Source organism: Homo sapiens, chromosome 2 (assembly GCF_000001405.40).
Source record: "Homo sapiens chromosome 2, GRCh38.p14 Primary Assembly".
In the NCBI taxonomy this organism is placed as follows: domain Eukaryota; kingdom Metazoa; phylum Chordata; class Mammalia; order Primates; family Hominidae; genus Homo; species Homo sapiens.
The window spans coordinates 135,638,679-135,660,740 of NC_000002.12; the positions used below are offsets into that span (position 1 = coordinate 135,638,679).

General features: G+C 37.1%; 1 protein-coding gene and 1 pseudogene across 7 annotated transcripts in view, besides 2 other annotated features; one reads left to right on the forward strand and one right to left on the reverse strand.

Moving 5' to 3' along the window:
• R3HDM1 (R3H domain containing 1) overlaps positions 1 to 22,062 on the forward strand; it is a 193,786-nt gene that overhangs the window by 107,195 nt on the left and 64,529 nt on the right. For 3 of the 7 annotated variants that reach the window (NM_001354200.2, NM_001282798.2, NM_001282800.2), the window contains 5 exons: positions 61 to 111; positions 218 to 444; positions 2,858 to 3,112; positions 6,701 to 6,849; positions 13,052 to 13,354. In NM_001354200.2, coding sequence (NP_001341129.1) covers positions 61 to 111; positions 218 to 444; positions 2,858 to 3,112; positions 6,701 to 6,849; positions 13,052 to 13,354 — 985 coding nt within the window. Of the gene's footprint in view, positions 1 to 60; positions 112 to 217; positions 445 to 2,857; positions 3,113 to 6,700; positions 6,850 to 11,223; positions 11,326 to 13,051; positions 13,355 to 22,062 lie in introns of all 7 variants that reach the window. The other 4 variants (NM_015361.4, NM_001354199.2, NM_001378107.1 and 1 more) reach the window with 3 other exon arrangements.
• On the reverse strand, positions 17,802 to 17,879 carry RNU6-512P (RNA, U6 small nuclear 512, pseudogene; annotated as a pseudogene).
• Positions 19,511 to 19,580: an enhancer, noted in NCBI's record as "active region_16573". NCBI's record gives its function as "activates an Ori minimal core promoter by ATAC-STARR-seq in GM12878 lymphoblastoid cells {active_cell/tissue: GM12878}" and the evidence as "EXISTENCE:reporter gene assay evidence [ECO:0000049][PMID:35858748]".
• Positions 19,681 to 19,740: an enhancer, noted in NCBI's record as "active region_16574". NCBI's record gives its function as "activates an Ori minimal core promoter by ATAC-STARR-seq in GM12878 lymphoblastoid cells {active_cell/tissue: GM12878}" and the evidence as "EXISTENCE:reporter gene assay evidence [ECO:0000049][PMID:35858748]".

The following is a 22,062-nucleotide window of genomic DNA, read 5'->3' on the forward strand; positions in this document are numbered from 1 at the left end:
TTTGGTAATTGTCTGACTGATGCTAATAAAAATTAAAATGTCCTATTAAAATGCCAACAGACTCCAAGACGAGGATGCCAGTAGTACCCAGCAGAGGCGCCAGATATTTAGGTATTGGAAGCATGTTTTCAATACAGTATTGAAAAATTAAAGCATTTTTTTCTTTACTTTTTGTTCCCCTGCATTAGCTTTTCAAGGTTTTATTTCTAAATTACAGAGTTAATAAAGATGCTTCAGGGAGATCTACAAATAGCCATCAAAGCAGCACTGAGAATGAGTTGAAGTACTCGGAACCACGACCCTGGAGCAGCACAGATTCAGACAGCTCTCTTCGAAACCTGAAACCTGCTGTAACCAAAGCCAGCAGCTTCAGTGGAATCTCAGTCCTGACAAGAGGTGATAGTTCTGGAAGCAGCAAAAGCATAGGCAGGCTTTCAAAAACAGGTATAAATATCTACACAAAACTGTGCAGTCAAGTCATTAGTTTTCCTAATGTTGTCTCAGGTCCTTATTTATCAGATGGCTTCTAATTATCCTAAAATATAAAATCACTATCAATAGTACCTTGACCACCTCCGGAGCACTTAAGGGGTAATATGTTTCTTGACATGAGGATTCACTCTCTGTCCTGGACACAGATTTACAACCATCAATTACCATAAAAATTCTTCTCTATTGTGACATAAACTTAATTAGGTAGGTTCAATGAAACATTATCTCTTGATTGAATGCCCATAGGTAATTGGAAATTCTTTATTACTTATTCGTAGTTGGTAGAAGGCATGGTTTCTCACCTAGGATTATTTAACACTGATTGCATTTTCAGCTAATACTATCAATTATTGATTGCATTTTTTATGATAAAGTCCTTCATTTTCCATTAAAAAAATTAAATTGCTGAGGAGATTTTGAGGAATTTAAAAAACAAAAACAAGTAACTTACAAATGACTGAAAATTTCAATAATCTCCTCATTCTACTACCTGCTTCCTTGGAGTTCATTGGCTCATAACATTTCTTCTTTTCATTTCCTCTAACTGGCTTCAATACTAAAGAAGCTCATATGTTTTTAGGATCCTTGAAGATCTTTATTTTTATCCCAAAATAAGCGTGAAAGTCAAAAATGGGTGTTTCCCTGTCCGGGCGCAGTGGCTCATGCCTGTAATCCCAACACTTTGGGATGCCGAGGCAGGCAGATCACCTGAGGTCAGGAGTTCAAGACCACCCTGGCCAACATGGCAAAACCCCATCTCTACTAAAAATATTTAAAAATCAGCTGGGCGTAATAGCACGTGTCTGTAGTCCCAGCTGTTTGGGAGGCTGAGGCAGGAGAATCGCTTGAACCCAGGAGGCAGAGGCTGCAGTGAGCCGAGATCATACCACTGCACTCCAGCCTGGGCAACAGAGCGAGACTCCGTCTCAAAAAAAAAAAAAAAAGGAAAAGAAATGACTGTTTCTCCCTAACCTATTTGGGTGAGCCTAAACATAAGGTATTGTACACGTAAGAATTGAAGGACATATTTGAACTGAAGGGCTGTAATCAGTGCTTTAAATTATTAAGGCTTATGAATTGCAGTTGTCATCTTTTTAATGTATAATATGGTTGTATTGAAAATATCTTAGTATCTATGTTAGGATTTTGCTAAAAATAGGTAAATTTTATCAGTATAAGAAGTCTACTTGTGTACCAAATATGCATTATTTGGAAAATGGCCACTTGGTCATCATAACAGAAAAAGCTATTTATGTATCATGAGAAAATTATGTAGACACACTGCCAAATTAAAACATTTTAAGAATGTGTACTATATGTATTCTGTATTCTCTTCAGAGATGAAAAGAAATATTAATTGGCCCTTTTAATAGGCAAAAAATGATTTTTGTTTTTAATTCTTAGGGTAAATTGATACAGTTTTTATGAAGAGTCATTTTGGCATAACTTAAAATAGAAGCTGTCCTTCAGAAGGCAATCTGTATAGTGTATCATAGTTGTTTCATTCATTAAAGATTAATTATCCATCCCAGAGTCAATTCTCTTATTCAAAACCTAATTAACTATATACATAAGATGCAAATCATTTTCTTTCTTTGTCTCGGCCACCTTTTTTAGCCATTATGCTAAAAATCAGTGACATTTTCAGTCCCTGTATAATAGAAAATGGAATAAATTGCAGGGATGAAGGCATTTAAAAATCAGTTATCAAATTAGTTCAGTAAGAAATAAATTTTAAGTTAACACCAGTATAAGTACTTGGAATATATTTCATGGTATCTCTGTCCCTTGATTAGATAAAATATTCAAAGTTGATTTTACATTTTGGGAAAATGCTATGCTAGTAAAATGAGAAATTAGATTCTGCAATTAAATTTGACAGTTATTTGTCTTAATACAGAATTTATCATTTATTTCTTACACTGAATCTTTCTGTGTTCTTATAGATAAGGGGTTTCTGGTATTAAAGATTTTGGGCATTTTGCTGTACTAAATTCTTTTTCCTGGGGGAAAATTATCTATATATTCCTAGGTGTTAATCTAAAAGGTAAAATGTACATAACTTTGTCCTTTTGGGAATGTGGGTAATGTGCTTTTTGTGGCTGTCTGTGGCTGGTGTTGTTATAAATGTGCTTAAATTGCATGCTTTGGCAGTGATTTCTCTGACAACTTACGTAATCAGTTTGCTGTATTAAACTTGTTCGTTATGGGGAGGGTAAGCAAACGTGGACAGTAAATTAAAAAGAGCCAATGCTTTTATGTAGTAACTGCATGTTATGCAATGTAAATTTTATTGTTGTTTTAAAAACCTGTGTTTTTTATATGAGGTTTAAAAAATCCATATTTTTCATTACTCCTCTTCTAGGTTCTGAGTCTTCTGGTAGTGTAGGGTCATCTACAGGCTCTCTTTCTCACATCCAGCAGCCTCTTCCAGGTACAGCTCTCAGCCAGTCTTCTCATGGCGCACCTGTCGTCTATCCAACTGTCAGCACTCATAGTTCTCTTTCCTTTGATGGTGGCCTAAATGGGCAAGTCGCATCTCCTAGCACTAGCTTCTTTTTGCTTCCCTTGGAAGCGGCAGGCATACCACCTGGCAGTATTCTGATCAACCCACAAACAGGTTGGTATCCAGAAAAAGGTGTTTCAGGAATTATCTGAAAATTTAAGGATACTTATTAAATGTATTTTCTGAATATGTGTAGTCAGCTTTTTATTATTCATGAATAATTAACATTTTCCAAGAACTTTATAACAAAAACACTTAATGCTAGGGAAGTTTCAAAGACATTTATATCAGAAAGCATTTTTTTCCCCTTGTACATCTGTGATATCATCTATGCCAAATACTAGCCCAATTATAATTTTTAAAAAAGTTTATTTCCTAGAAATGAGACAACTACCCACGAAAGAGCTTTGTTTGATATAACAATTTTTTTTAACCAACATTGATTTTTTTGGATGATACAACAATTTTATACTTGGGAAAATCGGATACATTTTATGAAAAAGGACTGAATAAGCAGCTTTTTTTCATTATATAATGGAGGGGGGAAAAATAATTATCTTTCAGAATGTGTTGATTTTCTACTGAGGAAAAGGTAAAGGACATCTTATTGGTAGTAAAAAAAAAATTGGGGGGAGTCATGTATTAATATTGACAATACATATTCTTTGCAATTAGCTAATAGTAATTTACATTTTGGAGCATTTACTTTTACCATATGCTCTGTTAGGTGCTTTAAATATAACCTTGTTAGGTAGGTGAAATCCTCATTTACAGATAAAGAAACTGAACCTCAGAGAGGTGAAGAAACTGCAGTTATAGTACATTTCACTATGTAAATTGGTAAAAATGATTTATATAGAAAAAATGATCTTGTAAAAGATCACAAGAAGTCTTGATCTCTTCAAGATAGCATAGCCCAGTCATTTGGCAAGGTAATGAAAACTCTCCTTGATCTTTTGATAACTTTAAATCTCATAGATTTAGCTGATGTGGTCTCATCATAATGGCAGTAGTTTACAGGCAGATACGGGTGGGAGTATAAGGTCTCTAAGTGTTCCTGGCCCTTTCCTTTCATTTGTAGTAGAAAAATCATGGCTTGGGACTCATTACTTTCAGGTTTTATTCACATCTCTTTTTAAGACGAAGTATGCAAACATTTGTTTCTCTTATAAGTATTAAATTAGCATAAATAACTGATTTTTCAGAAATTCAATTTTTGCTTAGTAATTACCTTCTTATTCTTCAGGTTATTATGTTACTAACATTCCTGTTTTTATCCAGCAAGATGTAAGATGATTTAATATTTTACTTTTTCCTATTATTTTTCATTCAAAACATAATATGGTTTTGGTAACATGAAAGATTCATTTGCTTAGGAAGGGATAGAGTGAGAAACTGATTGGTCTGAAATTGAATTGTACTATTAATTTAAATGAATCAAAAAGTGATCTCTGGTTTTTGACAACAGTATTACAATACATTTAACTTTTTTAAGATGACCCTTAAATTACATTTGACCGCCTTCACCCAAATCTGCTCCACCAATTTTTTCTCCAAATTATTTAGCAGTCAACAAATACCCAGGACAACTTGTTTTTAGTTATCTATAACTGTCACACAAATTATCAGTATACTAATTGATTAAAATAATTTTACTTTAGAGTACTTTTTCTGCTTGATAGCTATAGACTAGTATAGTCTTCTCTCCCAAATATTATGTTTTGATATCATAAGTTTCCTCAAAAAAAAAAAATGGAAAGGGATTTACTATGGAAGAACAGATGTTTTTAAGACAATTTAAGAAACTGTTTTTCAGTCAAATTTTTCTGTTTGTGTATTTTTCTCACTCGTAATCATTGCACAGTTACTTTTTATGTAGTCCCTTCTTGTTTCTTTTTTTAACAATCCAATTTTAGTAAAGAAAAATACTAATCTTTTAATCTACTTATTGAAAAAATGTCTGGAAGACAGTATCTGAAATGTTAACGATATGATTATGGGGAATTCCACAATAGCAAAGACATGGAATCAACCTAAATGCCCATCAGTGATAGACTGGATAAAGAAAATGTGGTACATATACACCATTAAATACTATGAAGCCATAAAAAAGAATAAGATCATGTCCTTCACAGGAACACAGATGGAATTGGAGACCATTATCCTTAGCAAACTAACGCAGGAACAGAAAACCAAATATCACACGTTCTCACTTGTAAGTGGGAGCTAAATGCTGAGAACATGTGAACACATAAGAGGGAAACAATACACACTGGGGCTTATTGGAAGGTGGAGGGTGGGAGGAAGGAGAGGATCAGGAAAAATAACTAATGGGTGACAAAATAATTTATATAATAAACCACCATAACACAAGTTTACCTGTATAACAAGCCTGCACATGTGCCCCTGAACTTAAAAGTGAAATCACACACACACAGAGATTATGGTGAATTTATTTTCTTTTTTGTCTCTATTTGTTATTTTCTTAAAACAAATGTTACTTTTTGTAATAAGAAAAAGTTGTTTAGAATGTACGTGTAGAGAAGCCAGGTGCAGTGGCTCACACCAGTAATCCCAGCACTTTAGGAGACCAAGGCGGGTGGATCACGTGAGGTCAGGAGTTCGAGACCAGCCTGGCCAACATGGTGAAACCCCATCTCTACTAAAAATGTAAAAATTAGCCGGGCGTGGTGGCAGGTGCCTATAATCCCAGCCAGTCTGGAGGCTGAGGCAGGAGAATTGCTTGAACCCGGGGGAGGCTGAGGTTGCAGTCAGCTGAGATCGCACCACTGCACTCCAGCCTGGGCCGGGCAACAGAGTGAGACTGTCTCAAAAAAACAGAAAAGAGGTTGTAAAATAAGGACAGTACCATCAAGTTTACAATTTGAAACATGAGCTATTAATTATTTTAGTTTTTCATCCAGTTCTAATTTTATTAGTGAAATATATGTAATGTGGCCTAAAAATTAGATATTTCCTACCTCCTAATAAAAACTAATGAATAACTTTCCAATATCCTGAAGTCAAGCATTTTCTCTTTGAACTGAAATATAGCCTTATAGGACCCCAATCCTGTAACTGAATTTCTTAGGCTAAATGTGTTTCGCAATTCAGAGTTTTTCAGGAAACACTACATATTATGAAATAAGGCTAGGATTACTTTGGGAGGTCAAGGCGGACGGATCACCTGAGGTCAGGAGTTCAAGACCAGCCTGGCCAAAGTAGGGAAACCCCATCTCTACGAAAAATACAAATATTAGCCATGTGTAATGTCACATGCCTGTAATCCCAGCTACTCGGGAGGCTGAGGCAGGAGAATCATTTGAACCCAGGAGACAGAGGTTGCACTGAGGTGAGATTGTGCCACTGTACTCCAGCCTGAGCAACAGAGTGAGACTCCGTCTAAGAAAATAATAATTAATTAATTAATTAAATTAAGCTCACTAGCGGTCTGGGCCAGTACCCCATAATAAGAAATGCAGTAAAACATTTGAATATTTAAGTGAGGGAAATAAAGACTATTAATAGCCTCATGTCAGAGCAGGCATTTCCCAACCTAAGGAAATCTTTGTTTTCAAATATTAGGGTTTTTTTTTAATTGTGGTTAAAGGATTTTGGACATGCTTTGTAAATTGTTAGTAAAAGGACCTATTTTCCACCTGTATTCTAAGTTATTTTTTTCCCTCTTTTTGAATTTTTCAGGTCAGCCCTTCATAAACCCAGATGGGAGTCCAGTTGTGTATAATCCTCCTATGACTCAACAACCAGTTAGATCCCAAGTGCCTGGACCTCCACAGCCACCTCTGCCAGCCCCACCTCAACAACCAGCAGCTAATCACATTTTCTCACAGGTGCACATATCCATGATTACATAATGCTAAGTTGACTTGCCTTTACATATTTGGGACTAAATTCGCTAATTATAATTGAGATAGCCTAAGTATCTCTTAGAACTTTAATATTCTGCCACTAGTGATATTCCACTCACTACTCATAGGAAAAGAGATAACTTCAAAGGTTTTTCCCCTGATAAATACTGAAAATATGTTGGAAAGAAGGGAATTGTTTTAATCATATGAGCCTGTCTGGTGAGTATTTTATCCCTATTTCACAACAGCAAGAAATGGACAACAGGAGAAATAAAAACAAAACTGTGATTGTTCATTGGCCCAATGAGCAAAGTGAGTTGTTTTAAGATTCCACAGATTAAGCAGTTAGAAGAAACTGAGATAGGCTGCTCAGGTTCTGCAAGGTACTCTTCATCCATTCTACCTACCCTATGAAAGACAAAGCAGTTCTGAGTTAGAATTCCCAAAAGTACTCTCAGTAATATTTTGAGTTTGTAAAAATGTTTAGAATTTACACATTCATTTTCACATTCAGTCTTTTTCCCCTACAGTTGTATTATCCATCTTTGGGGAACTTGACTATACCAGTATGAACTCCTATTTTTATTCTAACTTTTTTTTTTTTTTTTGAGATGGAGTCTTGCTCTGTCACCCCGGCTGGAGTGCAGTGAAGTGATCTTGGCTTACTGCAAGCTCCGCCTCCTGGGTTCACACCATTCTCCTGCCTCAGCCTCCCAAGTAGCTGGGACTACAGGCAGCCGCCACCACGCCCGGCAAATTTTTTGTATTTTTAGTAGAGACTGGGTTTCACCATGTTAGTCAGGATGGTCTCGATCTCCTGACCTCGTGATCCACCCGCCTCGGCCTCCCAAAGTGCTGGGATTACAGGCATGAGCCACCGCGCCCGGCCTATTCTAACTTGTAAAGATTGTTTAACATTATCAAAGTTCCTGTAGTTAGTTATACCTCTTTTTCCCTGCAAGACTCAGTATTCCATTGGTGAAAACATGCAGAGTGATTTTGTATGAAAGAAGTATGATGGGCCTGGCGCGTTGGCTCACACCTGTAATCCCAGCACTTTAGGAGGCCGAGGCAGGCAGATCACCTGAGGTCAGGAGTTCGAGCCCAGCCTGGCCCAAATGGTGAAACCCCCGTCTCTACTAAAAATACAAAAATTAGTCGGGTGTGGTGGTATGCACCTATAGTCTCAGCTACTCAGGAGGCTGAGGCAGGAGAATCACTTGAACCCGGGAGGTTGCAGTGAGCCGAGATCAGGCCACTCCACTCCAGCCTGGGTAACAGAGTGAGACTCCATCTCAAAAAAAAAAAAAATTAAATAAATAAGTGAGTATCCCTTAAAAAAAAAAAAAGAAGAAGTATGATGATAAACTTGAACTGGAGAAATTTCATTAATTTTGCTCACAAATGATATCATTTGTATTGCAGGGTTGAAGAACATACAAGTTTAATTACATTATTTAATGGTGTGAAAGTCATAAAAAATAATTGTACTTCTGGCAATTAAGACTCCTAATACTGGGCAAGGCAGTTTTTTAAAAAGAAGAACTTACAAGTTATGGATATACTTCTAAGACCATAGAAATCAGTTAATGTATGTAGAAGAGATTGCCTAAAACTATTTCCACAGACTCCCATATTCCCTTCCCAATCCCATTTGGTTACATACAATGAGCTCGCATAAAACTTCTTCCCTGGCTTTCTCTGCCTTGGCTTCAGTCAGCTTGGTCCCAAAGAGTTTCCTCTTTATTATGCTGTCATGTAGTTGTCTTTGCAGTGCCATGTATTTTACCAGGAGCTTTAAAACACTAATTTTCATTTGGTTTCATTTTTATTTAAATTTCAGTGGAAATAATGTTAATCTGGCAACTTTTAAAAACTCTGGGATTTATCTGTGATTATATATTTCAGATTATTATCTCTTAGAACTTTGTCTGATTTAGTGATAAGAGACAGTTCTAAATGAAGATGTAGGCCACCTAGTTTAGAAACAGATGCTTTAATGAGCTATAATTGGAATTCTTGGGATATTCATCAAATTTCATAACTTATTTTTCTAGCATTGCTCCAAGTTCAGGTAATGCATCATCAGATCCAGAAACAGAGACTCAAAAGTGATTCTCAATGAATACCTTTTGCACAATCTGAAATAATTTATCAATGAGATTGCAAATAACCAAACAAAATAATGCTATGATTTCCAAAGCCTTCAGAAGGGCTACTTTTCTTAGACCTAACGTAAAACCAATTACTTTAGGTGGATGTTGTTTTGCAGCCAGTTGCAATTCAAGTAGGAAAAGGATGTGCTAAGGCTCTTTCTTCCCTAAATGGTGTCAGAATTTCACTTTCATCAATCAATCTTCTAGCCCACAGTTTTTTTCATTACTCTCTGAAATTCGGGAAGACATTAATTCATACCCTTGGTGCTCATAGTACTTTCCTTAATCCCCCAGCTGACTAAAACTTTTGTTTCATCTGACACATAGGAGATCAAGTCATCTGAAAGTTATGTCTTAATGGTTATCTGACTTAATAACACATCAAGTAGCTTGTTCTTGAGAGTTCTAAAGCTATGGCACCTCATGTAGTATAATATGTACTATCATCTGTTAGGAAGCTCACTTATTTCTAGCCATGAGTTTTGTGAGGAACCAGAGGCTACTTCATAGATCTTTCAGCTTTTACTGAAAGATTTTTTTAATGCTTTAATTATAGATTTTTTTGCTTTCTTTTAAGCTTATCTAAGCTTTTGTTTTTTAGAAACCGTTGTGTTGATTTTGTGGTAAAAGTGCAACTCAAATCATTATTATCTATCTATGATGTCATAGACAAACAATGTCTATCTTAGTTGACATAGAAGTTCTCTATTTAAATTATTGCCTGAACAATCTTAATTCCATTAGTTTATCTAACATTTTTAAAGTATTGTCTCTGAAGACAACATGCAGAGATATTGTTCAGAAGGAGATGCATGAATATACATTTTAACTAAGAGTTTTCATCAAGTGAGATTCCCTGGGTTCCTCATCTACTTGCTTATGTGGCTGTCTACAAGTCACTTAATTTACCTTAGTCTAACTGCCTTCTGTAAAGTGGGTTGCTATAGTCTTTAAGCCAATATGTATATTACCGTTTTTGTAATAAACAGTATAAATATGAGAAAATTAAACAGATGCAATTTTAGTTTGTGGATGACCAGCTGTATTCCCAAGATTGAAAAGTGATTACAACTTTAAAAAAAAAAAAAAAAACACCTGTGTTTGAGTGCCCCTGGGAAACATAAAACCCTTTTTTTTCCTGAAACTCAGGAGTATTTCATTAATGGCCAGAGATTTTAAGTAACTAGTTTCTCAGCTCCTAACATGTACTATCTTAATAGAAATGTGTTAATTACAAAGAAAGTGTTTATCTTCCTTATATAAAAGAGGTGTTTGTGTGTGTGTGCATGTGTCTGTATGTATATATGTGTTTGTTGTTCCTTAGGCTATTATTCTTAATAGTTCCCACCATATATATATATTTGGGTTTTTTTTTTTTTTTTTAGACGGAGTCTCCCTCTGGCGCCCAGGCTGGAGTGCAGTGGCGCGACCTCGGCTCACTGCAAGCTCCGCCTCTTGGATTCACGCCATTCTCCTGTCTCAGCCTCCCGAGTAGCTGGGCTACAGGCGCCCGCCACCATGCCCGGCTAATTTTTTGTATTTTTTAGTAGAGACGGGGTTTCACCATGTTAGCCAGGATGGTCTCAATCTCCTGACCTCGTGATCCGCCCGCCTCGGCCTCCCAAAGTGCTGGGATATATTTTTTTACCCAGAGCTTTTTTCTTATAAAATTGCTAAAAGTTAGGGGCTTTGGTCCCAAAAGACTGCTTAATTTCACCTTATCAGTAGGGTAATTGGAATAGTTATTGTGTAAGTTATTACTGTCTGATAGTAAGAATGAAGTTTTTCATTTATAATTTAGTGTTATACTGCAAAATAGGGCAACCCTTTCATAAAACCAGGAAATAATGAGAAGTAGTTTTGCTTTTACTGACTTAACCCGGGGGTCTTTGTTAAATAATAGGATTCAAAATGCCTAAGTCACCTGTTCCCGTTAATCTATAATAAAGAAATATTTTATTGCAAAAAATTATTCTCCTAATTATGTAATAAATTCAGGCGTACATGTTTTTGAAAGTTTTACTGTATTAGAGTTGCTTCACTTTGTATTGTTTTTGTTGTTTCCTATGTTGTTATATTTTAAATGACTTTATAAATGTAGTTAAAGCTATTGCCAAAAAAGTGTAAATTTCCGTTTTATGCAATTCTTCTAACGTTTTATTCTGACATTAACATTGTTTGCCAACCTGTTATTCTTTAGCCTGTTCATCCTCTGCAGTCCTCTTCACAGCCTGTTCAGTACTCTACAGCCCCTTACCCATCCCCGTTCCTGCCAGTCTCACCCACCCAGCAATACTCTGTGGTACTATATCTCTATTCACCTCCTGCGTTGTTTCTGTGGGTGGATGTGTGATGAATGCTCAAGAGTGTCATTAATGTAATATGATCTTTTGTGATTTTTTTTGGGTCAGGTTTACATATGTATCTAAACAAAGTATTTCTAATTCATACTAGAAATAATTTATTCCATAAAATATTGGTTATAGTGGCTTATTATGGTGATTGTTTAACCTTTTCCTGCTTTTTCATAACGAAAGAATTTTCAGGTTGATTATTCTAGTCCTAAGATGTTTTAGCAACTTTCTCATTGAGGCCACTGCAGGATCTGTGCTGCCCTGGGATGGCAGCTTTCATCTGGGTTTAGGCATTCTATTTTCTCCCCAACACTGTAGCTCCAGTAGACCCAGTACCAGTTCTTAGGGTGAGTTGTAGCTTACAGCTACAGAGGACTTCTAAGTATATTTTCTAAGAAGATTTCTGGATATTTAATCTGTGACTGTAAAGTAATGATACTTTCTTCTATCCAAAGTATGCCCCAATTTTTATTGGAATAAGAAAATGACTTTTTTCCAAGGTGACTCTGAGAGTGGTATACAATTATGGTACTTCTGTTAACAATATTTGATCATATAACATTGAAATTACAGTTCATAGGTACATTTTTTTTCCTTTTGACACCATTCACTGAATTAGGCTAATAGTGTTAAAGTGTCAAAGTGACAGTTGGGGAAGAGAAAAACCATATATTTTCAATCATTAAATCAGGCATCTCCTTTCAGTCCTTTATCTTCTCCATAGCCGTAATTTACTTTGGAAAATCCAGCAGATCTAGAAACTGCAGACATGTCAACTTTGATATGATGACTCAATTGCCACAATTTTGTAAGTCATTTTTTTCAGTGTTGACCTTTTAACAAAATGTGGTATATTTTATTGCCAGTCTGTGGTTTCTTGGGAACAGGGAGCATTTTAACCCTATATAATCATTTCAGTGATATTTTTCTGGAACAATAAGAGCTGGTCCTTATCCTGTTGAATTAGAGAAATGTTTGTCAGATAGCACATAAATCATAACCCTTGTCTTGGTAGGGCACCATTTAGTAAAAGCATAGGAAACTGTCATTTGAATTACATTTGTCAAATTATCTGACTTCCAGAACAGATTGAAAAACACAAGGGAAGAATGGAATGTATGGCCAAATTATTTTTGAAAGATTAGAGAAAGGACTGTAGTGGATTTTATGTATTTAATTTCTGCAAATAATTTTCGTGGTTAGGGATACAAAAATGCATAGAATTTGCATTTTGCCTTCTAGGAAGAGGGGAGATAGTTTAAAGCAAATACTAATTAGTACCTTGCTCATTGCTTGGTCTTTGAAGTCCTTTCAGAAAATATTAATTGTATAATATGAACTTGGCCAATTTCACTTCTACATTCTAATGTTGCTTTCATCTTCATTTAAATAAATGTCTTCATTTTTTAATGTGAAATGTTGTACCCTACTCTTTTCTGCATGCTGTGCATTCCCACTAGATATATTTTTTAAATAATTTATAATTTATAATATTCAACAATAGAGTTGTCATTTTTTTGAAGCTTTACCCTATTACATAATTGCTGTTGTTGATATATATAATTTCCATAATGTGTACTATTGCATCTTATTTAAAAATAGGAAGTATTTTTCTTTGATAAGTTTGGCCTATGTGTAGAAGGCTTACTAATTTTTGACTTCTTCCTTTTTTAGCAGGATAACCTAGGGTCTCAGTTTAGCCACATGAGTCTTGCTCGCCAGCCATCTGCTGATGGTTCTGACCCTCATGCCGCCATGTTCCAGTCCACTGTGGTTCTTCAGTCTCCACAGCAGTCTGGTTATATCATGACAGCAGCCCCTCCACCACATCCTCCTCCACCGCCACCACCACCACCTCCTCCTCCTCCCCTACCACCTGGGCAGCCAGTCCCTACTGCTGGATATCCTGCCTCTGGTCATCCTGTCAGCCAGCCTGTGCTCCAGCAGCAGGGATATATTCAGCAGCCATCACCACAGGTATATTGCTTTTTAACCTTTTCTTTCTTGTGGAAACCTCTCACTTAAGATCAGTTTTAACTTCAAAGAACTTATTTTTAAATTCTCATGAAGAGAATTTGTGAGAGTATATAAACAAAGCATATACTCATCTTTCCGCCTCTGGAGATTTTCACGCACATGCTAAGCAACCATATGACAGGTAAATGCTCCAGTTGGTTGGTAAAGTATGTGAGCTTTGAGGGGTTTTTTTTCTGAGAGGTATGGGTTTCTAAAAAACTAACCTAAGGGAAACACAATAAAGTGTAAATCCACTGTAAAAGTAAAATGGTAAGACTGGGCACAGTGGCTCACGCCTGTAATCCCAGCACTTTGTGAGGCTGAGGCTGACTCACAAGGCTGGGCTTGAGCCTAGGAGTTGGAGACCAGCCTGGGCAATGTAGCGAAACTTTTGAATATTTAACTAACTTTTAATTTCTGAAACAGACCCCACTTGGTTATGATGTAGTATCCTTCTTATATATTGTGGGATTCAGTTTGCTAATATTTGTTAAAGATTTTTGCATCTATGTTCATGAAGGATATTGGTCTGCAGTTTGCTTGTAATATTTTTGGTTGTACTATCCGGATGGTAGTAGCCTTAAAATGAGTTGGGCATTGTTCCCTCCTCCTTTATTTTCTGATGGTGTTTATGTAGGATTGATGTTATTTCTTCTCGCATGTTTGCCAGAATTCACCAATGAATTCATCTAAAGCTGTAGATTTTTTGCAGGGAAGGTTTTTAAATTACAAATTTAATTTCTTAGTAGATATAAAATGATTCCAGTTCTCTTTTTCTCTTTGGACTAAATTTCATACTTTGTTTCCGTTTCATGTTTCAAATTTGTTGTCATAAAATTGTTCTTAATATCCCCTTATGCTTTTAATGTTTTTAGGATCTTAGTGGTATCCCCTTTTTATTTCTTGGTATTGGTAATTTTGCTCTCTCTTTTTTGTTTTTTATTAATTTAGCCAGTTGATTTATCAAGTCTTTTGATGTTCTTAAAAAAAAAAAAAAACACGGGCCAAACATGGTGGCTTACACTTGCATTCCCAGCCCTTTGGGAGGCTGAGGCAGGCGAATCACTTGAGGTCAGGAGTTCGTGACCAGCCTGGCCAACATGATGAAACCCCTTCTCTACTGAAAATACAAAAATTAGCTGGGCGTGGTGGTGCACGCCTGTAATCCCAACTACTGGAGAGGCTGAGGCAGGAGAATCACTTGAACCTGGCACATGCAGCTTGCAGTGAGCTGAGATTGAGCCACTGCACTCCAGTCTGGGCAACAGAGCAAGACTCCATCTCAAAAAAGAACAAAGGTTTCATTAATTTTTATGATTTTATTTTCAGTGATTTTAGATTTTTCTTCTAATAGAAGTTTTTAATGCTATAAATTTCTTTTTTTCTTTTTTTTTAATGCTGCAAATTTCTAAGCACCATTTTGGTGCTATCCACAAATTTGGATATGTAGTATGTTAGTTATTATTTAGTTTAAAATGTTTTCTCTTTTGAGAGGATTTTTTATGACCCATGACTTACTTAGAAGTATGTTATTTAATTTCCAAATACGTAGGGGCTTTCTAAATACCTTTTGTTATTGATTTCTGTTTTAATTACATGTGGTCAGAGAGCTTACTCTTTTAAGATTTCAGTGTTTTGGGCCGGACACAGTGGCTTATGCCTGTAATCCCAAATGGTGAAACCCCATCTCTAATAAAAATACAAAAATTAGCTGGGTGTGGTGGTGCGCACATGTAATCCTAGCTACTCGGTAGCGTGAGGCAGGAGAATTATTTGAACCCAGTAGGCGGAGGTTGCAGTGAGCCGAGAATTTGTGTTCTAATATTTTAGCGTTATGTGGTTTTTTGTTCAGGGTTCTTTTGTGGGGCAGGGCATTTTGATTTTTTTATTGAAATTCACATAATATAAAATTAATCATTTAACCATTTTTATGTGAACATTTTAGTTGCATTTAGTACATATTCACAGTGTTGTACAACCACCACTTCTGTTTGGTTCCAAAACATTTTCATCACTCTAAAAGGAAACCCCATATCTGTTAGGCAGTTGCTACTTGTTCCTCCATTTCCCAGCCCCTGGCAACCACCAATCTGCTTCTGTCTCCTATGGTTTTACCTATTCTGAATACTTCATATTAATGGAATCAGGCAACATGTTACCTTTTGTGTCTGACTTCATTCATTTAACATAATATTTTCAAAGTTGATCCACATCGTAGCATAGGCACACACACACACAAACACACACACACAGTGGCACACTATTCATACTTAAAATGTATTCACACTTAAAAATCTGTTCACACTATTCATTCTTTCCCTTTTTATCCATTAATTGAAATTTGGAATGTTTTCTTTTGTTGTTGTTGTTGTTGTTGTTGTTGTTGTTGTTGTTGTTGAGACAGAGTCTCTTTGTTGCCCAGGCTGGAATGCAGTGGTGCAATCTCAGCTCACTGCAACCTCCGCCTGCCATGTTCAAGCAATTCTCCTGCCTCAGCCCCCCGAGTAGCTGGGATTACAGGCGTGAGCCACCATGCCCAACTAATTTTTGTATTTTTAGTAGAGACGGGGTTTCACCATGTTGGCCAGGCTGGTCTCAAACTCCTGACCGCAAGTGATCCTCCCGCCTCGGCCTCCCAAAGTGCTGGGATTACAGGCATGAGCCACCGCACCTGGCCAAAATTTGGAATGTTTTCATCTTTTGTTTCTGTAAATAGTGCTGTTTTGAATATGTAGGTACATGTATTTTTTTAATATCTCTTTTCAGTTTTTTGGAGTATGTGTGTATATAAAGTGTGTGTGTGTGTGTGTGTGTGTGTGTGTGTGTGTGTGTTTGTCTTTTTGTTATTGAGCTAAGAGTTCTTTATGTATTCTGGATACTAGACCCTTGTCAGATAAGTGATATGCAATTATTTTCACTCATTCTGTAAAATTGTCTTTTTAGTTTCTTAATAATGTTCTTTGATGGACAAAAGTTTTTTAATTTTGGTAAAGTTCACTTTATCCATTTTTTCTTTTATTGCTTGTGCTTTTGGTGTCATATCTAAGAATTGGTTGTCCTGTCTTTTAAGTGCTTTATGTTTTTAGCTCCTAGGTCATTTATCCATTTTGAGTTAATTTTTGAATATTGGCGTGAGGCAAGAGTTCATCTTCATTCTTTTTCAAGTATATATCTAGTAATTCTAGCATTATTTGTTGAAGATACTTTTCTTTCCCCATTAAATAACCTTGGAATCCTTGTCGAATATCCTTTGACCATAAATGTAAGGGTTTTTTCCTGGGCTCTCACCTTACCCCATTATGTATTTCTGTCCTTTTGCCAGTACTACATTGTTTTGATTGCTGTGGCTTTGTAGTAACTTTTAAAAATGGGAAGAGTGAGTACTCCTACTCTGTTCTTTTTCTTTTTCTTTTTTTTGTTTTTGTTGTTGTTGTTGTTGTTGTTGTTGTTTTTGAGATGGAGTCTTGCTCTGTCACCCAGGCTGGAGTGCAGTGGCGCGATCTCGGCTCACTGCAAGCTCCGCCTCCCAGGTTCACGCCATTCTCCTGCCTCAGCCTCCCGAGTAGCTGGGACTACAGGTGCCCGCCACCACGCCCGGCTAATTTTTTGTATTTTTAGTAGAGACGGGGTTTCACGGTAGTCTCGATCTCCTGACCTCGTGATCCGCCCGCCTCGGCCTCCCAAAGTGCTGGGATTACAGATGTGAGCCACCGCACCTGGCCTACTCTGTTCTTTTTCAAAATTGTTTTTAGTATTTAGGCTCCTTGCAATTCCATATGATTTGAGAATGGGCTTTTCTGTTTCTGCAAAAAAAGACCTTTGGAGTGTTGATAGGTATTGCGTGGAATATGTAGGTCTCTTTGATATTATTGCCATGTTAACAATACTAAGTTTTCCAGTCTTAAATGAGCATGGGATGTTTTTTCGTTTACTCTGGTCATCATTGATTTCATATTCTATTGTTTTGGGATTTGTCCATCTCCCTTTTAAGTTCTATCAGTTTTTTATAGTATTTGAAGCTATATTAAACAATTTATATTTATCATGTCTTCCTGATATATTGACTCATACATACATTTTTCTCTGTCTCTAATAGTATTTCTTGAAACCTATTTTATCTGACATTATAGTGTCATTCTTTTGAGTAACATTTAAATGGTAGATCTTTTTCTATCTTACTTGCAACCCCTATATTTAAAGTGTCTTTCATTTATGGTTATTAGTTGGGTTCTGCCTCTTTATACAGTGATTGGAGTGTCATTAGACCCTTTAAATTTAATATATTTTTGACATGGTATGCCATGTCATACCAGATTCAGGTATGCCACATTGCTATTTTTTTATTTGCCCTATCTGTATTTTATTCTACTTTCCTGCATTTTATATTATTTGAACTTTTTTTTTTTATAATATTGAATGCTTTACGAATTTCCGTGTCATCCTTGTGCAGGGGCCATGCTAATCTTCTCTGTATTGTTCCAATTTTGTCTTTTTAGGTACATCCCCTTGAATTTTCTGAATATGTGTGTTTTTCTAGGGAATGTGTTACGTACCTTTACCTTATCAAAATCTACTTCAAGTTAATATTGAAATTTCAAGTAAAATGTAGCAGCCTTATAACAGTATAATTCCATTTACATTCTCTCCGTCCTTTTGCTGTTGTTGCCATATACATTGCATCTCTATATATTATATACCAAAAATAGTGTTAATAATTTTTGCCTTAAAAGAGATATTGGCAGCCGGGCACAGTGGCTCACGCCTGTAATCCCAGCACTTTGGGAGGCCGAGGCACGCAGATCACTTGAGGTCAGGAGTTCAAGACCAGCCTGGCCAACGTGGCGAAACCCCATCTCTACTAAAAATACAAAAAAAAAATTAGCCGGACCTGGTGGTGGGTGCCTATAATCCCAGCTGCCTTGGGAGGCTGAGGCACAAGAATTGCTTGAACCCGGGCAGCAGAGGTTGCAGTGAGCTGAGATCGTGCCACTGCACTTCTGGGCCACAGAGCAAGATTCCATCTCAATTAAAAAAAGAGAGAGAGATATTGGCTAGGCACAGTGGCTCAAGCTTGTAATCCTAGCACTTTGGGAGGCTGAGATGTACGGATCACTTGAGGTCAGGAGTTCGAAACCAGCCTGGCCAACATGGTGAAATCCCATCTCTACTAAAAATACCAAAAAAAAAAAATTAGCCAGGTGTGGTGGCGGGCACCTGTAATCCCAGCTACTCGGGAGACTGAGGCAGGATAATTGCTTGAACCTGGAAGGTGGAGGTTGCAGTAAGCTGAGATTGCGCCACTTCACTCCAGCCTGGGAGACAGAGCAATACTCTGTCTCAAAAAAAAAAAAAAAAGATACGTTTTTTAATTAAAGGAAAATACCTAAACTCAGGATTTAGATTACTTTCTGATACCTCCAGGAACAGTTAAGGGATCCCATATGTATTGTGTCTATGTTAATGCTTCAAAGACAGGAGATCTACGGTAAACTTGAGTGATTCTTGGCTAAAAACTAACCTAGGAATATTATGCCTGGCTGGTTTTCAGATGAGATGAGCACTCTTTAAAATCTCCACAGATCTCTGTTCTTTTTACAGATAACCCAATCAGAAGAGCAGAATGTGAGTGAGCCCATGACACTGTTAAAGTTAACTTACCCACATACTTCTGTAATACTGGATTAGGTATTTATTCTTCACCCCAAACTAGGTCAGATTAAGAGAACTTCATTACTAATACTAATAGCTCTGGAAGGAAAAATAAATCAAGATGGTCTTGATGGCATTTTAATTTGCATTAGAAATATGGTCATGCATCATTTAATGATAGAGATACATTCTGAGAAATTTATCTCTAGTGGGTTTTGTCATTGTGTGAATGTCACAAAGTGTATTTACACACACCTTGATGGTGTAGCCCTCTACACACCTAGGTTATATGGTATAGCCTACAAGCTACAAACCTATGCAACATGTTACTGTACTAAATACTGTAGGCAATTATATCACAATGGTAAGTATTTGTGCATCTAAATATATGTAAACATAGAAAAGGTACAGTAAAAATATGATATAAAAGTTTTGTGGTTTTTTGTTTTGTTTTTTTCTTTTTTGAGACGGAGTCTCGCTCTGCCGCCAGGCTGGAGTTCAGTGGTATGATCTCAGCTCACCACAACTTCCGCCTCCCTGGTTCAAGTGATTCTTCTGCCTCAGCCCCCCGAGTACCTGAGACTACAAGGCGCGTGCCACCATGCCCGGCTAATTTTTTGTATCTTTAGTAGAGACAGGGTTTCACTTTGCTGGCCAGGCTGATCTCAAACTCCTGACCTCGTGATCTGCCCGCCTCAGCCTTCAGAAGTGCTGGAATTAACAGGTGTGAGCAACTGTGCCCGGCCAAAAGATTTTTTTAAATGGAACACCGATATAGTGCACTTAACCATGTATGCAGCTTGCAGGACTGTAAGTTGTTCTAGGTGAATCAGTGAATGTGAAGGCCTGGGACATTTTACTACTGTAGACTTCATAAACACTCTTAAATTAGGCTACACCTAATTTATTTCATACATTTTTCTTTCTTCAGTAATTAACCTTAGCTTACAGTAACTTTATAAACTTTTTAATTCTTTTCACTTTTTTATTCTTATGTAATAAAACAGCTTAAAACACAAATACACCATACAGCTCTACAAAAATATTTTCTTTATATCCTTATTCTAAAGTCTTCTTTTATGAATTTTTAAATTTTCTTTCTTTTTAATTTTTTTTAATTAAAAACTAAGGTGCAAACATGCATATTAGCCTAGGCCTACGCATTTCAGGATCATCAGCATCATTGTCTTCCACCTCCACATCTTGTCCCTCTAGAAGGTCTTCAGAGGCAGTAACACACGTGGAGCTGTCGTCTCCTATGTGGAGCTGTCATCTCCTATGATAACAATGCCTTCTTCTGAAATACCTCCTGAAAGACCTACCTGAGTCTGTGTGTGTGTGTGTGTGTGTGTGTGTGTGTGTGTGTGTTTGGTTTGGAGTTGTTCTTTGTTTTTTGAGACAGAGTCTCACTTTGTCACCCAGGCTGGAATGCAATGGCACGATCTTGGCTCACTGAAGCCTCGACCTCCCAGATTCAAGCAATTCTCCCACCTCAGCCCCCCAAGTAGCTGGGACTACAGACACGCACATCACACCTGGCTAATTTTTGTATTTTTTGTAGAGATAGGGTTTCACCATGTCGCCCAGGCTGGTCTTGAACTCCTGAGCTCAAGTGATCCACCCACCTGAGCCTCCCCAGAGTGCTAGGATCACAGGTGTGAGCCCCTGCCCCTGGCCCTGAATCTGTTTTGCAGTTTTTAATAAGTAGCAGGACTACATTCTTTTTTTTTTTTTAAGACAGGCTCTTGCCTCTGTCACTCAGGCTGGAGTGCAGTGGTGCAATCACTGCTCACTGCAGCTGTGACCTCCTGGGTTCAAGTAATCCCCAATCTCAGCCCCTGAGTATACAGGACTACAGGCGTGTGCACCTCCACACCTAGCTAATTTTTTAATTTTCAGTAGTGATAGGGTCTCACTATGTGGCCCAGTCAGATCTCAAACTCCTGGGCTCAAGCGATCCTCCCGCCTCAGCCTCCCAAAGTGCTGGGAGTACAGGCGTCAGCTGCCATACCCAGCCCAGAAGGACTACATTCTGAAATAATAGTTAAAAATATTGTAAATACATAAACCAATAACAGCCATTTATTATCATTACCAAGTCTTATTTATATACTGTCTGCTATACTTTTAAACAACTGCTAGCACAGTAGGACTACAGACATGTGAGTGATGTATTGTGCTATGACATCACTGGGTGATAGGAATTTTTCAACTCCTTTATAATCTTAGGGGGCCACCATCATATATGCAATCTATCATTGACCAAAATGTCACTTTGTGATACATGACTGTATGAGAAAAATTAAAGAATGGAACCAGTATAACTGTGCATTAATGTGGGAGTGGATAAAGTAGTTTATACAATGAATGTTGTTTAGCAGTTAAATTGAATGAGCTAGCTGTATATGTTTCAATAAAGAAAGATGTCTCAAAAACAACATGAATTGCAAAATGAATTTCATGAAGTTATATGTAGTTGAGTTTCCCGTATTTGAAAAGCCTGGGACCAGAAGTTTCAGTTTTTTGGTTTTTTTTGGGGGGGATTTTGGAATATTTGCATATATACAATGAGATATCTTGGGATAGGGCCCAAAGTCTAAAACCAAGTTCACTTCTGTTTCATATACATCTTATACACATAGCCTTAAGGTAATATAAGCCATATTTTAAATAATTTCATGCATGATGTAAAGTTTTGACTGTAACCTGTCACATGAGGTCAGGTGTGGAGTTTCTTTTTGAGTACTGACATGACATGATGCTTTTGGCATCATGTTGGTACTCAGAAAGTTAAAGATTTTGGAGCATTTCAGATTTTGGACATTTGGATTTTTAAAATACTCGCCCAGGCTCAGTGGCTCATGCCTGTAATCCCAGCACTTTGGGAGGCTGAAGTGGGCGGATCAGTTGAGGTCAGGAGTTTGAGACCAGCCTGGCCAACGTGGTGAAACCCCATCTCTACTGAAAATACAAAAATTAGCTGGGCATGGTGGCACATGCCTGTAATCTCAGCTACTTGG